Raw genomic sequence first — 17,005 nt, 5'->3', positions numbered from 1 at the left:
AAAAAAGATAACTTCTCACAAGGATGTCAGGAATGTAGACAAAGGGGCAAATACCCAGCAATCTCACCTGCCTACCTCCATCAGAAACCCTCCATCAGAGGCCTACTTGGAAAAGACAAGAAGGGGCTTCACATCTATGCTCCCATCTGGGCTGTCTGTGTGTCTGATCCACCAGAAACAAGCCCAGCCACTCCTCTCTGCCTCTTAAGAGTTGTCCTTTGAAGCGGAAATCTTATTACCTCTCTCCATCACAGCATCCCTTGTCCTTTGCACCATCTGTCTACAACCAAGTCAGAAACTACAGATTACAGAAGATGGAAAGGCAGGGGCAGGTAGGCAATGCATTGTGGGAAGTGTCCTTTTCACCAGCCGGCTGGAGCTGGGGCAAAGGGAGAAGCCATGACAACCAGAGCATGCTGGGAAGACACCCTCACCCCACAGCAGCTTAGTGCCAGAGGCTCAGGCGGTGGTTAAGGCTCCCAAGACAGCACAGCCCAGACAAACCAGGAGCCAGAGGCTGATTGGGAGCCCTCACACCTGCCCCGAGCTGCAGACCTGAGAAGAACATGTGCCCATCTTGCCAGGGAGCTCAGTAGAAGAGGATACACCATTCACTTGAAAAAGGAGCAGAAAGTTTTAGGGAGATAATATATATTTCATTTCAAAATGAAGCAACAAGGTAATATAAAAAGGGAGATAGGTGAGAAATGGGAGAATTACAAAGTAACTAAAATCTTAATATTTAAATTAAAAACCACTTTGGAAGTAAGTAATAAAAAATAGACTTGATGACCCAGAAAAACAAATCAGCAAGGTAGAGAAAAAATTGGCCACCTCTCTTGGGATACAAAGGGAAAGGAGAAAGAAGTGACAATTATGAGAAAAAAGATGAGAGACAGGAAGAAGAGTTGAGATACAAATGCTGGAACTTATTTCTTGAGCAGACTGGTGAAATAGAGAAATCTCTGGCAAGGATAATCAAAAAGAAAGAGAGTGGCATGATGGTGAAAAGGACATGGGGGATGTATCCGGAGACACAGCGGTCCTCAGTGTATGAAGAGAGTCGGAGAACTCTTGTGAGCTGAATTGTGACTACGTTTTTCTCAGTCCAGCTTCACCTGCCTTGGGACTGCTATCTGTTCCAAGACATCCATCTGAATCTGGCACTTGGTACCTGCAAGGCTCAGTTTTTGGTTTTGTTGTGAATTTTATCTTTATCTGCAACTTCTTGGAGATGTAGTGAGATGTTGAGAGTGGCTGCATTGGCCGGGGTGGGGGTCCTAAAGCCTGATACAAGGTACCAGGAGTGGGGGAAATGGGGCACTGTGAGGACACTGGGTGGGCTTCTCGGGCCAAAGGGAGTGAGCAGGCTGCAAAGACAACTGTCCTCCTGATTTTGCCAAGGGCAGGCAGCACCACCAGCCAATTAAGAGAAACACCCCATGAAGAAATGGTTTTGTTCAGCAGAGTAGCACATTCAGGACAACCCTGGAAAATAAAGATTTATCACCCCGGAAACCCCCACAGTTCTGATGAGGTTGGGTTCAGCCAGCAGATGTGTCCACAGAGTTAGGGAGGGGTGGAGGATGGCCGCTACTGGAGGGGCCGCCCAGCTTGTCTGCAGTGGCTGGGGAGCTTGGGCTTCCGCACATTCCCCATCCCTCCCCCGCCTGGGCATCACCCGGAGCTCGGCCTTGCATGGTCCTTCCAAGGAAGCTTGCTGAGTGCTGCAGTTCAGCACCACCTCCCCAGCCACCTCCCACGCCCACCCACACACCTGCTGGAGAGGGGCAGAGAGCACTGATTTTGGAGTCAGAAGTCTTAAAGTTCTGACCTTGACATGCTAGGTGACTGTCAGCGTTCCTGACATCTCAGGGTATCAGCCCCTGTGGAAGTGGCATCCCCGGGCCTGTCCCCAGCCCCCAGGAACACTGTGACATCCCAATGAGACATCCAGGGGAAAAGCACCTTGAAAGGATAAAGCTGTGTCCAGTGATCAAGATTGGGAAGATTCTAAGCACCTTGAGAGTGGAAAGAGAGAACCTGAGGGAGAATATGCTGGAACGGGTGGGTAGTCCTGTCAGAAAGCTAGCATTCTGTTTCTAAGGAAAAAAAAAAAAAAGTCTTTTGAGGCATCTCAGTGAGAAGGGAAGATTCCAGAACTGTACTTAAGTCTTCACTCTGACACCAGCTCTGGGAACACCCTTAAACCCCTCTCTCTCTGCCTGACTCTACTCCCTGTGATGTGTGTCAGCTTTGCAGTGATTGCATACAAGGCTTGAAAAGAAATTCCCAAAGTTTCATCTGTGTGTGTGTGTGTGTATATAATTTCATGTATACACTTTTTATACAAATATACAATTTCATATTTATACCATATACAAAATGTGCATGTGCATGCACACCCACATATGTGTGTGTATATGTATGTGTATATATATATATATGTATATATATATATACACATACATATAAATACATAAAGTAAAGGAAAAAAGGACAATTTTCCAGCAGGTTGAAAATGGTGACCTATTGAAGGAGGTCAGAGTGAAATGGAAATACCCCTTTGACTGTGCATTTGCTAACATAGCCTGTTTTCTGACTTATTTTATTCAATCCTGAAGAATATTTCCTATAGGCAAGAAGCAGCTCCAGGCTGTACAATTACTGGAGCCAGATATCATAGAAATGGACCTGAATTCAAAGGCAGAAAATTCAGGATCAAATGCCACTTGCTGTGTGTGGCAATTGTGTACCTGCTCAGGGCCTCAGTTTCCCCTTCTGCAAAATAGGGGTGGATGAAAAGATTCCCATCCCCTATGTCTTAGTCTGGGCTGCTGTAACAAAGTGCCATAGAATAGGTGGCTTATAAAAACAGCAGACATTTATTTCGGACAGTGCTGGAGGCCCGATGTCCAAGATCAGGTTGCTAGCATGGCAGGGTTCTGGCATGGCAGCTCTCTTCCAGGTTGCAGACTGCTGCAGTCACATGGCAGAAAGAGAACTAGAGAGCCCTCTGAGGTCCCTTTACAAGGGCATGAATCCCATTCTTGAGGGTCCCGCCCTCATGACCTAATTATCTCCCAACGGCCCTGCCTCCCACTACCATCACAGTGCGATAAGGATTTCAGCATATTAATTTCGGGAGGATGCACACATGGAGTCTCCAACACCACATCACCATTCTTTAACAAACAGGTCTAGTAGGACAATTTGGAGGAAGGAAATATTTTGTAGAAAAATAATAATCACTTTGTTTTTAGATATACTGCATGCATATATTTAACTTTTCACACAAGTGCATTAATGTGCTCATATGGATGTGAGCTCATCTTAGTTCTCACTTTTTCTCTTTTTGCTCAGCTCCTGTCCTGACTACGGGAGACCTTTAAGGACCTCTCTAGCTGTGGTGGTCCACGTTTCTGAAACAGGAAAACTTCAAGGGAAAGGTAAACGGACAGCAAATGTGCAGGGGGCCACAGCTGTGCCTGGAGCTGGGATGGGGGCGTGCCAGGCTCCAGGTGGAGGGGTCGTCACAGTTGCTCCAGGAGCAGAGAGAGTCTGCTTTTCCTCTGCCTCCCTGACTCTGAGTCTCCCTACCCTAATTCTAGGGCAGGTCCGAGCTCAGGTCTAGAAGCTGAGCCGTATCTGAGTTGGGCCTCCAAATTCCCCATCTTTCGTGGAATCTAGGCATCAGAAAAACCACCAGAATCATTTGGCTCAGCCAATGATACTTGTTTGTAGTGGTTATTCAATCTCCCAATAAAACTCTCAAAGGAAAACTATCCCTCCCCTCTTCCTGTAGGGAGTAGGGACTCATGTACTCCCAGAATTTCAGGCTGACTGGCCCATTTCCTTCCATCTTAGGAACCTCATTGGAAGGTAAGATGCTCACATTCTCACCCAATTCTTAGTCATCATTCAGCCAGGAACTACTTCATCCAGGGAAGAGAAAGCAAAAACAAGCACAGAAAGGTCAGTCTCGATGAGCAAGCAATTCACAGAAGTCACAGGAGTGGCCAAGAAACCTGGAAAAAATACTTACAACTGCAGGAAAAACCAAACAAGCGCAAAGTAAAACAACAATGATATGGCCTTGGCAAAGATGAAAAGGGAGGAAGAGAAGGAGGATGTCATGTTCTGTGTCAACAAGGCTGTAGGGAAGTGAGCGCTCCCTGGGCGTCCTGAGGATTTGCTGTGATGAAGCCATGCACGCCTTTGGGGAAGCTCCATCTCACTGATCTCTCTTTCTCTCTCTGCAGCCCAGACTCAGAGAGTCAGTTTTCACCCACAGCAAGATCCAGCCAGGCCTGGGACCAGAATTTGCCCAATGGGGGTTCACTTTTCCTGGCCAATTCCTACTCACACAGCTCCTTGCAGCCAGTCCAGTCACCTCATGTGGGCTCAGAAGCTTTCTGAGGCCTTCACTGGAGATGTGGGCCTGAAGCCAGCTGCCATGGCACCAGCCCTGCCAGGCCTGCCATCCCAGGGTGCTGCTGGCCTGCCGAGCCTGCTCAGCCTCTCCACACTGCCGCACTTGTGAGGCATGGAGCCTCACAAGAAGGCCACCCCTCCCCTCTACCTTCTCACCAGATAGAAGCAGCCACTGATATAAACTTGAGGACAGAGGTGATGCATGAACATGTATCTCTGGTTACACGGGGTCTGAGTTAGGAAGGGGATTAAGCACATGAAAGGGGTCTTTGGGGCAATTCCTTACTCAGAAACTTAGATGCTTGTCAGAGGGAGAAGGGGTCCCGGAAACAGCCTCTTGCTCATACCTGGCTCAGATGTGTGCTTAATTCACCTTTTTTCTCTCTCTTTTCTTGCAGAGAGAAAGAGTGGTGTATCCAAAGGGAGGGACCTTAGGATGAGGTCTTATTCTACCCAAGCTGGCAGCATCTCTGCTTTCTCAATCCAGGTGAGTGAATGCAGTTGAGAAGGAGACAAGCTGCCCCAGCGCACTCTCTGGCCTTCGTGGATCCCTCCCATTCAATTATTCAGACCCTTCGTTTTCTCTCCAGGTCAGTCTCCAGACATTTCAAATTCAGGCCTAAGGACTGAGAGTTCATGGGAGCACCACGCCCTCCAAGAAGCACCAACATGGGATGGTGGGAAGGGATTTGGACATAAATCTAAGGTGGATATTTGCAGAGGAATGGAGTGAAAATAACGATGAATATATTGAGCATGTACTATGTGCCAAGAACTGTATTATCTCATTTAATTCACATGAGAATTCTATGTGGTAAATCTTTATAGGTGGGGAAAATGAGATGCACAAAAATTTCATCACTGACCTAAGGTTACACAGCTAGATTGTCATGGGCTTGGGATTTTAAACTCAGGCAGTCTGGCTTCAGAGCTGACCTGTGCCCTTGGTCATGATGCTATAGGAGCAGCTCACAGGGATTCAAAGTGATCCTGTTAGGGTTGCCTGCAGGAGCAATTTCAGGTGGGAAGAAATCAGCTGTGAGTTCATTTCTGCCTGTAGGGTGGAAATTAGGGGATATAGGACAGGCACCACCTCGGGGAGCCCTAGACTGGCTTCATACAGACCGGTAAGCCTCCACGGATTCCTTCAAGGCTAGGGTATTGAGGGCCTTGGATCCCAAGTTCCTCTCACTCACCACCAAGGCAGGCTGAAAAGGGGATGGTTGAGGCAAGGCCCAGGAGTCAAGAAGGAATAGGTTAGGTCAGGAATGAGGGATGCCAGGGCCAGGGGTCAAGGCAGGACAGATACCCCAACACCAAGGAAGCCATCAGGGCAGCAGCACAGAGCTCCAGCCACGGGCAGAACCCGATGCTGAAGTCATTCTTGCCTCAGCCAGGAAGCATTTCACATCCTCCCTGTGGGCCAGGACCCATCCTCAGGCTGGGGGCTGCCTAGAACTACCTGCTTGGAAGAAGTGAGCCACAGCAAAACGTTGTTGAAAATACCAGCAGCTACATGTATGATGTGCTGACTCTGCACTAGACATTTTATATATGTTATCCCTTTTCACGTTAAGCTTGCAAACTACTCTGTGAGGTCTGAATATTGTCCCCATTTTACAGAGAGGCAATAAAAGCTGAAAGAGGTACAACAGCTTGCCTGGGGCCACGTAGCTTCTCGGGACCTTGGATGTAAACTTAGGCCAGCCTGGTTCCAGAGCCCAGAGCCCTGGCTCTTACTTCCCCTACTGATAGCCTCCTTGGGACAGAGATGGGGCAGGGGCTCCATCCAGCCAATTCTCTTTCCCTCCCCCATTCTCAGCCCCTTTCTACCCAGGCATTTCCATCATACCATTGCTCCGATTGAAAGTTCATCTGCTGCCGGGCACGCAGTGGCTCACGCCTGTAATCCCAGCACTTTGGGAGGCCGAGGCGGGCTGATCACCTGAGGTCGGGAGTTTGAGACCAGCCTGACCAACCTGGAGAAACCCCATCTCAACTAAAAAAAAAAAAAAAAAAAAAAAATTAGCTGGGCGTGGTGGCACATGCCTGTAATCCTAGCTACTCGGGAGGCTGAGGCAGGAGAATCGCTTAAACCTGGGAGGCGGAGGTTGTGGTGAGCCGATATTGCACCATTGCACTCCAGCCTGGGCAACAAGAATGAGACTGACAGGCACCGTCTGAAAAAAAAAAAAAAAAAAGTTCAGCTGCTCAACTCCATGCTCCCATTGGCAGCAGTTATCCAACCAGCCTGAAAGCTACCTTCTTCCATCTCTTCTCACAACGATGCTGTGCGGGGGCCAGCAGGCGTGTTTCCCCATTACACAGGTACAGAAACTGGGGCTTCAGGAAAATGAAATCATGGGCCACCAGTACCCTGTCATCAGGACAGGACTTCAAAGCCAGGCCCCTAAATCCAGCATCCTTCTAGGCCTCTTCACAGTACTGCCTGTGAATTTAGATACATCTGTGCCTCTAACAGATCTTTAAACTTCTTCTGTAGCTCACTGTGTCCAGCTTCCCAAGGACTGCCTGCAGAAGAGGGCTCTATTCCCAAGGCCTGTCAAGATTCTGGGGGTCCTCCCCAGCAGCTAGGGGACATCTTGCCCACCTTCTTCAGTACCCGAGGCAGGGAGGATGCTGTACAGGTTAAGGAGACCACAGAGCTAGCAGTGTGTGGGTTGTGCTGAGTCCCTGAGTGGTGTGTATTTCTTCAGGTCTCTGTCTGCTTGCGGGCGCCCCTCTGATTGGAAGGCTTAGTAAGGAGCCCTCTGTCTGCTGGGGCTGAACCAGGCAGGCCCCCAATGGTACTGAGCCAGTGAGACTGTCCCGGAGAAAATGTGATACAGAAACCACAGAGAGGACTCTCCCAAGAAACGCCACAAGCCACCTGGTGGGACATTCATTTCTTTCCAAGAATTTGGCTTCTGTTCTCTCCTGTTTTTCCTCTTAGGAGTCAGATAGAACAGGTTGACTCGATTACTTGTTTGCTTCAAGCTCGTTTGACAAATGAGAAATAAATAAGGTCCAAATAAATAAAATAATATTTATTTTATAATATTGAGGTGTCAATAATATTGAAGTCCAAATAAATAAAATAATAGCAATTAGGAAAGAGCTGGAGTGACCGCAGAGTCTCCTGACACCCAGGGCAGGCCCCTCCTGCTCACGTGATGACCAAACACTCTCCCTCAGTCTGGCTACTTATTAGGAAGTCTCCATTGGCACGGAGTACACCAAAAATTTGGCTGTGCCTCCACCCCTGTGAATGTTTGATTTGTACACCCTCAGCTTTAACCTAGAGCCCTGGGCTTCTGGAAAGGGTGGGGTTGGAGGCATTCCAAGACCTTGACCTGGAAGGAATTCCAGGAGACTGGGTTGCTTCTTTCAACCCCACCAGCAGTCTCAGCAGGTCGGCCTGAGCCACATACTTGCTCAGACCTCACTACTAGCTAGGGTCCCCTTTCCTTCTTTTCCTTCCTCTCTCTCTCACTCTCTGTCATGAAGTTTTCAAGGGCTGGGACGGCCACATTCCACAGCATTGAAATCACAGTTCCATTTCATTCAGGCAAATGGCATTTTTGCCTGAATCAAAAGTGAGAGCTTGAAAGGATCTTATTGATGGTTTCAACCACCTCCCTCTTTTAATAGATGAGGAAAATGAAAGCACGGGGGAGGTGGCTCCCCAGGGTCACTCAGTGGGTAGTGAAGGCGCCGTGCTAAGCACCTAGGGCCCGGGCCCTTAGGCACTGCTTGTCCCAGTGAGCTCCCGTCCCACTGTCCACTCCTAACCACAGATGCCCACGCTGGAAGGAACCCCAGGAAGTGTGTGGCCAGGGCAAGGGTTGGGGACAAGCCTGAATGCCCAAGGGGAACACAAGGTCACATCAAGGGAAAGGAAAGCCAGGACTTGGGGGATGACTGCCACACAGATGATTGCTGAGCAGGCGCAGGATTTCTGGACATTCGTTTTTGTTTTTTTTTTTTAAGAACAGCCAGAAAATACAATGATAATGTAAAACATTCCCATTTTAAATATAGAAAGAATTCAAATTTAAAAAGAAAGCACCTGAGACTAATGTGTGGCCTCTGATGAAGTCCAATTGTCCCTTTTTACAGACAAGAAAACTGAGGCACAGGGTAGTGGTCTGTCACAGGCCACAGAGACAAAACCCAGTGCAGTGCAGTCATTTCTGGGGAATGCCACTTTGGGGCCAGCTGTCCTGTTGGCACTCATTATGAGATGGCATCCCATGAGAATGTGTCCTCACGCACCCGGCCCCAGGCCCCCTCAGGTCTCGTGTGATTCTCCTTGGAGGACCTTAGCCTTGGCCTTCTATTATGTTCTCTCTGTGGCCCACATTCCAAAAATCTCTGTAAGTGTTTTTTTTATCCCAACATGTCCTTTTAAGACTCCAAAGTGGGCCAGAACATTCCGAGACCCTGCTGGAGGCTGGGAAAGGCGGCAGACACCCCTGCCCTCTGCCAAGCCCTTCCCACGTGCCATTCCCCTTGCCACTGGACATACTGCCTTTTGCAGCCCAGCTCCAAACAGCACAGCTGACATCTCAGAAAAATCTCATAAGGCCGAATTAGGAACATGTCAGCGAGAGGGGAAAATGAGATCCTCGTCAGCCTGCCACCTTCCCTGGCTGGCTAAATCCATCAGCAGGCCATCAGCAAACAGCCCTCCCTGACCCCTCCTGCACCCAAGACAGGGCAGAGGGCAGTAAGTGAGGAGATGACACATAGCCCCATAAAACCATTGGAGAAAATCAAGTGCTAAGATGAGCACAGCAGATAGTAAGGGCTCAGTGAGTTCCGAGCAAAGGGGGACCAAAATATATAATGGCTCATCAGGGAAACGGGTCTGGAGCTAGTCTCTAAGAATAGGCAGAATTTGGGTGGAGGGAGAGACGTGGAGAGGGCCTTTGAGGTGTCAGGCAGAGTGAGCAAAGGCACAGAGGTGGGACGGAGCATGACATAGTTGGGGGTGAGTGGTGGCTCTGTCGCCCCAGCCAACCCAGCCGCCGGGGGAGGCCCTGATTGTTTTGAACTTTGCTTCCTCGTCTGCAGACAGGAGCTTGGGCTATAGGAGTTCAACGTTTTCTTTCTCCTTGAGCAGAAGTGCTGTTCTTTGTCTACCAGCACCTAGGTTGTGCTTCACAAATGAGATCTTCGTTGAATGAATGAATGAATCAATGAATCAATCATTTAACATAACTATCAGCCTTATAAGAAGAGTATGAGAACTGATACCTGAATAAAGTAATTTAACAGTTTATATTTTTCAGTGTATTTCCCCATTGCCTTTTGTGGCACCCCGCTAACAACCTTTGTAGACAGAAAGAATGGGTTTCATTAATTCTATGTGCCAAGTAAGGAAACCAGGGGTGGGAGCATGTTGGGAGAAGCAGCAACTTACCTGAATGGTGAGTTTGGGTGAAGGAGTTCTGCCGCTCTGAGTTTCCCCCAGGGGATCTGCTTGCCTGCTGAGAGGTGCCCTGGGCCCAGCCTCTGAGGGTGGGCCTGCAATCAGCCTGTTGGCTCTGCGTCAGGGAGGAAAAGGCTAAGCCAAGCTGACTCAGAAGATGTGCTGAGTCCATCCTCCCAGGGACCCGAGCATCCCTGTCTGAGTAGCACGTGTCAGAGGTGCTGATATTTTGATCTTCATCTGAATGACCCCTCCAGCAATCTCCCAATTTGTTCTGAACTAAGTGGGAGAAGTACCAAAATGCTGTTTATCCTTTCCCCAAAACCCCAACAGAGATGATAAGCAACTTGGTCAGACAATCCAAGACTTTACCTGGAGTCACCTAGCCGTCAACCTCTTACCCTTTTCAGCTGGAGGAACCTTGTCAGAGAGAGACATTTAAACAATGATTTAAACCAACAATGACTTAAAGCCTGCAGGATTCATCAGAACCATCAGTATTCTCCTGTGCTCTGTGAATCTCCGAGAGGAGTTAGATAAACATGCCTCATTTCCCAGTCTTATTTGACCACAGATTTGTTTCTTTCTCTCATAGGTCCATGTGAAGGTCTAGTGTTCTACCGTTCCATATTTTTGGACATGTTGCCACAGATAGCCAATTGCTTCTTGAGAGTTGCAGTGGAAAGAGACAAAAGGCTTAGCTTCACTGCAAAAGGGGTTGGGTGACCTTGGACAAATCCCTAAGCCTCAGTTTCTGTGTCTTTCAAACAGGGATCATACGCTGATCTCATAACATTGATGTAAGGATAAAATGAGATAACAAATATCCCCAGCAGATCCTTCCCAGCAGTAAAAGTCATCACACAGGTGTATAATCTTGTACCCAAAAAGGTGTACCAGATGTGGGATTTACAAAAAAGATCAATGGACAAGTAACTCTTTCTTTGACCAAAGAACTCTCTGAGTTGCAAAAGGACTAACAAGGTTTTTTAAAGCTGCAAACCCCTGTTGACCTCTCTCCCCCAGGCTAATTTAGAAGAGAGTACAATTTTAAAGACTTCAACCTACCAGAAGCAGGTCTATTTATAAACCAAAGCTCAGGCGCAGAATTCTGTGAGTTCACTTCCATGCTCAGCAAGGTCCCCTTATCATCTCTGGAGCCCTGCCTAGTAATTAAGACCCTGAGTCCACCACTTCTCCATTAGGGTTTTCCTCTGAGATGCCCTATACGAGTTCCTTGCAGACTCAGATCCTCATCCCCACATGCCCAAGCCAAGTTCATTCCAGTCTTCTGGATGCCTGGGATTGGCTCCTCCCTGTGGCAAAGTTGGCTGGTTACCCCTGATAATGCACTCTCCCCATGCATGCCCCTCAGTGATAGAACTTAAGACTGCATTTCCCAGACTCCTTGTGGAGGTAGAAGTGGCTGCAAGAAGAAGTTCTATCAATGAGATATGTTTGGAAGTCACACGTACCAGTTCTGGGTCAGCCTGTCCTGAATGGGAATGACTTTTCTTCAATTTCTACTTTTCCTCTTCCTGTAGGTTAGAATAGTGATGAGATGGCAGGCTCTAGAGCAGCCGTTTTGAACCGTATGGTGAAGGTTGTTGATTGAGAATGGCAGAGCAACAAGGTGGATGGGGCCTGGGTCTCCAAAACCATGAAACTGCCGTAGGAGCCCTGGACTGCTTAAATTAATACTGTTATCGGGGGAGCAATACACTTCTGTTGTGTTTAAGACATTGTTGTTTTGGCCTTTCAGTTACAGCAGCTGAACTACTTCTCTTTGCATAACTACTTCTAACTGCTCTTTAAAACCCATGATATCTGCCCTTCCATGCCACACCACCCAGCCCAGAACCTATTGCCTATACCAAATCTTGATGCACTGAATTCTGTTTGATTTAACTTTATTGGCCCCAGTATAGAGTGTGCTGAACACCATGAAAAGATAGTTACAGAGTTGCTTTATATGACCTTCACTTGTTCTTGCTTGGTTTGGTGTCTCTGCTGCAGGTATATTCTCCCAAACAGTGCTGTGTACCACTGCAGGGCAGGGCCAGGTCACAGACCTGTGTCACCACCGTTCATGGTGCATAACACTCAATTGAGACCAAAAGAAACCAATGGGGACATAAAGCCAGCCAAGGCTGGTGGGGTGTGGCAGGGGACAGTCCCGGCGCTGAGCCTTTAAATACAACCTGATGTCAGAGAACTCTGACATGTAACTCGAGACAAGACCTGCTATAATAGGATCCTTCCAACGTGGAAAAATAAGGTAGGCCGACTGCCGCCACCATGGAGAGGCGACAAATATTTGCGCTCCGGCGTAAGGATGCCTGGCTGACTCTGTGCTGTCACAGGGAGACATGCACACCTGTTGCAGCTGGAGCACAGTCAACCCCAGCCAGCCACCCTCAGATAGACCAGTAGAGTACTGGGAAATAACAGGCGATGCTAGCTATTACACAATGAAGCTGTGAGCAGCTTGGCAAGACAGAATGGACTGCCTCGTGAGGTAGTGAGCTCCCTGACAGTAGAGGTAACCAAGCCAGGTGACCACTGTGGAAATGCTTTAAGCTCATTCCAACCTAAGTTTGGAGAAAGAGATTGCCACGGGCGGCTTGAGGTTTTACAATATTATGATTTTTCAGACTGCAGTGCACATCTCCCCTCCATTGACTCCATCCCAGCATTTGTCTCCAGGAACCTACTGGTGTTCGAAGTTCTGCTATCAGGGCTTTATTCTGTGAGGGTAAGGTGCCACAATCTTCTGGAGCTGTTGGTTAAATAGAGGTTGCTACATAATGTTGTAGTTGTTGGCTTTTTTTCTGTGAATTCATTTAGCGGACGCTTCTCCCCAGTAGCTTGGGAAGAGATTGTTGGAGCACTGGTCATCATAGTAGGGGTCTTTGATTCAGATGCACCATGAAGGCAGGATGTGCGTGGGATCAGGGGTGGTGGTGGTGAGAGCTCTGAGGGAAAAGGAGGATGTGGGAAAGTAGAAGTGGCAGGAGTGCATGACCAAAAACACTCTCATCTAATTCACAGCTGAGCCCAGGCTGGCCCTACCTGGACCAAAATCCCAACATCAGTGCAGTATCTTCTACCTCCCAATAAAAGCCTCCCAAGGAAGCACTGGGCTAGAAGTCCAAAGACTTTCTGGTGGTCCTGGCTGGGCCACTCCCTGGCAGTGGGCTTTGGGTACGTCCCAATGCCACCTTGCAAAGCTAAGCTCCCTCTGTGCCCAAACGAGAGGAGGCATGCGCTGGTCTCCAAGGACCCTCCTACCCTGACATGGTCTGAGGGCGGGACCAAGGCACTAGGGCGGGCTTTGGGGTCCCCAGACCTGGTTGTGAAACTCAGCTCTGCTTTCTCAGAACCATGCCACCTTGAGCAAGTTACCTAAACTTCCTGAGCCTCAGTCCGCACATCTGTGAAATGGGGACAGTAATACTTGCTTTGAAGGATTGTTAAGATGATAAAATATGTCATTTTACTAGTTGATGCCTCAGTGGGAAATAGCGGGCTTCAACCATAAAAGGGAGCATCTGAAGGGTGCATCGTCCTCTGATTGATATCGGGCCTGGGTCTTCATCCTTTTCTTCAACAGATGTTTTTTTGCGCTTCTACTATGTGCCAGGCACATTGAACTATACAAAGTTCAACTCTACATCGTTGAACTATGCAAACACCCCTGACCTTGGACCAAGCCCATCCTGACTGCCTATCTGACAGTCCGTGAGCTCCTCAGGCCCCTCATCCTTGAATCTGCCCCGCCCTGAGCTCTGAACACATCTCTCTAGTACTTCCAAGGAGCTCCAGCCTCCCACACCCCTACCAAGCCATTCCTCCCTAGGCTTCCCAATTCCAGGGAAGTTAGTGGGGTACCATAAATTGGGGCCAAACTGTCGCAGGCTTACTACACGCAGGTTCATGAAATGTCCTTATTCAGAGATGTAAGAAATCATTTTCCCACAACGCTCAAGTCTGACTTCAAATTAGAATCACCTGGCAATTTACAAAAACATCTTGATGTGGGGTCCCACTCCTAGAAAAATCTCACTCAAGGGATCTGGGCTGGAGCTTGGGCAGTGATAGTTTCAAAGCTCCCCAGGCAATTCTAATGCATAAGAAACCTGTGTGAATCCAACCCGCCTCCCTTTGCAGATGGAAAGAGGAATTCACCAAGGTCAAATTCTACCTAGAAGCCCAGTGAGTTATGATTCTCTGTATTTTACAGACAAAGAAGCTGAGGATGACAGGGAGGAGGAGGCTTTGGGGAGCCCTTCTCCCATGAATCCTCCCCACCTTGGGCAGTGTATTTCATCTCAGCAGAAGCCTTCATTGCCTTAACTAAAAGACCTGGTACCAAGGCTGGGTGCGATGTTTCATGCCTATAATCCTAGCACTTTGGGAGGCTGAGGTGGGAGGATCGCCTGAGTTCAGGAGTTCAAAACCAGCCTGGGAACATAGGGAGACCCAGTCTCTAGAAAAAATAATAAAATTAGCTGAGTGTGGTGGTGTGTGCCTGTGGTCCTAGCTATTTGGAAGGCTGAGGTGGGAGGATCACTCGAGCCTGGGAGGCCGAGGCTGCAGTGAGCTGCGATCATTCCACTGCACTCTAGCCTGGGTGTCAGAGTGAGACCCTGTCTTAAAAGGAAATAAAAAAGCCTTTAAGAAATTGAGTACAGATTAATAAACTTAATAAATTAAATAAAAATAAAAAAAAGACCTGGTACCAATGGAGGCCTTTCAGGCACTATGACAGGCAGGGGTGGAAAATTTGAGGGTAGGAAGAGGACCTTCCACCTCCCATGCATAGTGCTGCTATTTGCCTGTCAGTGATCCACGTGCAAAGAGCCTGCTATGAAAGGCACCTGCATGGCCCCACCCCACCCAGGCAGGTGATGATGAGGGGCGCCAGGCAGGTATATGCAGCTCAGAAGGCTGAGCTCCCCGACAGGGGCCTGCAGCACCCAGTACTGGGACCCAAGGCCCCTGAAGAATGGAGAGCCCCCCGACAGGACAGAGGGGCTCGGTCCCAAGAGCAGTGGGGGAACAGAAATTGTCCCCTAGTAGGCTCTTTGGCAACCACCCAGACATTTCAACTCTCCCCCTCCCCAACAACCTCCTGGCAGGTGGGCCGAGATGCAGACCCAGTTGCCAGCCTTTGTCTCTCCCAGAGAGTTTGAGCAACTTGCTCTGAGCTCCTACCAGGTTGGGGACACTGCTCCTTCCTTCACATGGCAGCTGCTTTCAGAGTAAGCCTTGGTTACAAGAGGGCTGCTCCCTGGAGCTACATGTATGGAAGGACCGGGCATCTCCCCAGAGTGGTGTGCACTGGCTGTGGTCTCTGTCCTTTACTGCCCATGGTGGCCAGCCTGGGACCAGAAGTCAAGGTCATCATCCCCCCAACATCCTTCCCGCACTACTCCTCTACCCAGAGGTAGGGGAGAGATTGTGGGATCAGGTAGCCTCTGGCATGAAGGTCTGCTGGGCCACTACCTGCTGTGTGCCCTAAGCTTGTTACTTCACGTCCCTGAGCATCAGTTTCCTCATCTATAAAATGGCCACAAGCAACACTACTTCTTAGGGGCCCTGTAGACATCTAAATATTTAAGTATGTGCCCAGCACATAGCAGGTTCCCAGTAAGTAGGAATCTCCATTCTTACTCTCTTCCCTGTAGCTTAAAACATTGGTTCCAGGAAAGATCAGGGTTTTTTTTTTCCAAATTTTATTTTGAATTTTTTCAACCTAAGTACATACTACAAGAATAGGACAACAAACTCTCATATACTTCTCACCTAGATTCACCAATTTAACATTTTGCCACTTTTGCCTTATCTCTATCTATTTATACCCATCATGATTGCTGTTATCATGATTATTCCCTTTAACCTGAATGGCTTCAGCATGTATTTCCTAAAAACAAGGATATTTTCTCATACAACCACATCCACAAACTCAGGAGACTTAACAAAGACATGAGCTAGTGTACAGGTGACCTTCACGTTTTGTCAATTGTCCCTCTCGAGTCCTTTCTGGTCCACCATCCCTTCCAGGACCAGGCCTGGCATCTGGTCACCATGTCTCTTTACTCTGGAAGAGTTCCTGCATCTTTCTTTGTCTTTCATGACCTTGACATTTGTGAAGACTGCAGACCAGCTGTTTTGTAGAGTGTCCCTCACTTGGGCCATGTCTGATGCTGTTTCTTCATGATTAAATTCAAGTCATGCACTTTGGGCAGGAAAATCACAGACAGGGTGCCAAGTCCTTCTCAGGGCAGTCTACTGGGGGCCCATCCATTCACCCCTTGCAGGGGATGTTAAGCTTGAGTAACTTTGAGTTGAGGCAGTGTCCAGAGCCTTCTCAACTGCACACTTGCCATTTTTCCCATGATCACATGTTTAACTCTGGGCTCTAGAGTCAAACAGAGCTGGGTTGTGTCTGGACTTCAGCATTTACCAGCTGTGTGACCCTGGCCAAATTATCTGACTTCTCTGAACTTGTGAAACAGAAACCTCAATCCTATCTCTCAGGGTCGTTTGGAGGAGTGAATGAGAGCACCTATGTGAAGTGTTCAGTATAGTGGCTGGACACACTGGGGGTGCCTGGAGAATGTTAGCTATTATTACTCCTGCCACTCTGTAATACTCCTCAAGCCCCGATGGTCTGACCTGGTTTGGGTGCAGGAAGCTGTTGAATCATTTTTCGTCCATACTGTGGATACTCACTGAGCATCTGCCCAAGGCTTATGAGGTATGGAGGGGACTTGCAGGTCAGAAAGACCCACCCTGATGGAAGGAGCTCCAGGAAACAGCAACTGAGGAAACAAGTGCCAGGCAAGCTGTTGTGATGTGACATGAATTCAGAGAGGCAGCCAGGGGCAGTCGCCAGTGCCTGCGGAAAGCCAAATAAACCCTGAGGATGGGAGGTAGATCCATTGGCCATTAGCCAAGGTAGTCCACGGCCACGAGGCTAGCGTCGACTTTGGGATCCATCTAACTTGAATTGGTGTCCCAGCTTCTCTGTGAATTAGCTCTGTGCCCTTGAGCAAGTCAAATGACCTCTCTGAGCCCAGTTTTGGCTTCTGTGAAATGAGGATAATATTGCATCTCTCATAGAGTGGTAGC

At 48.5% G+C, this 17,005-nt stretch overlaps 1 long non-coding RNA gene across 1 annotated transcript in view, besides 2 other annotated features; it reads right to left on the bottom strand.

Annotated features, from left to right (window-relative positions):
- Positions 3,382–4,581: an enhancer, noted in NCBI's record as "CDK7 strongly-dependent group 2 enhancer chr15:70090778-70091977 (GRCh37/hg19 assembly coordinates)". NCBI's record gives its function as "activates an origin of replication core promoter dependent on BRD2, BRD4, P300/CBP, MED14 and CDK7 cofactors, with strong dependence on CDK7, by STARR-seq in HCT116 cells {active_cell/tissue: HCT116}" and the evidence as "EXISTENCE:reporter gene assay evidence [ECO:0000049][PMID:35650434]".
- Positions 8,223–8,725: an enhancer, noted in NCBI's record as "H3K27ac-H3K4me1 hESC enhancer chr15:70086634-70087136 (GRCh37/hg19 assembly coordinates)". NCBI's record gives its function as "activates a minimal SCP1, AML or CMV promoter by ChIP-STARR-seq in naive H9 embryonic stem cells {active_cell/tissue: H9 hESC(naive)}" and the evidence as "EXISTENCE:reporter gene assay evidence [ECO:0000049][PMID:30033119]".
- The window catches only part of LOC107984788 (uncharacterized), a 34,565-nt gene continuing 34,066 nt past the window's right edge, over positions 16,507–17,005 (bottom strand). Inside the window, exon 3 of the long non-coding RNA XR_001751592.3 lies at positions 16,507–16,772. This is a non-coding gene — a long non-coding RNA (uncharacterized LOC107984788). The remainder of the gene's footprint in view (positions 16,773–17,005) is intronic.

This window comes from Homo sapiens, chromosome 15 (genome assembly GCF_000001405.40).
Source record: "Homo sapiens chromosome 15, GRCh38.p14 Primary Assembly".
NCBI classification, from domain to species: domain Eukaryota; kingdom Metazoa; phylum Chordata; class Mammalia; order Primates; family Hominidae; genus Homo; species Homo sapiens.
The sequence above is the reverse complement of the archived record's forward strand: the minus strand, read 5'-3'. Positions and strand labels throughout refer to the sequence as shown.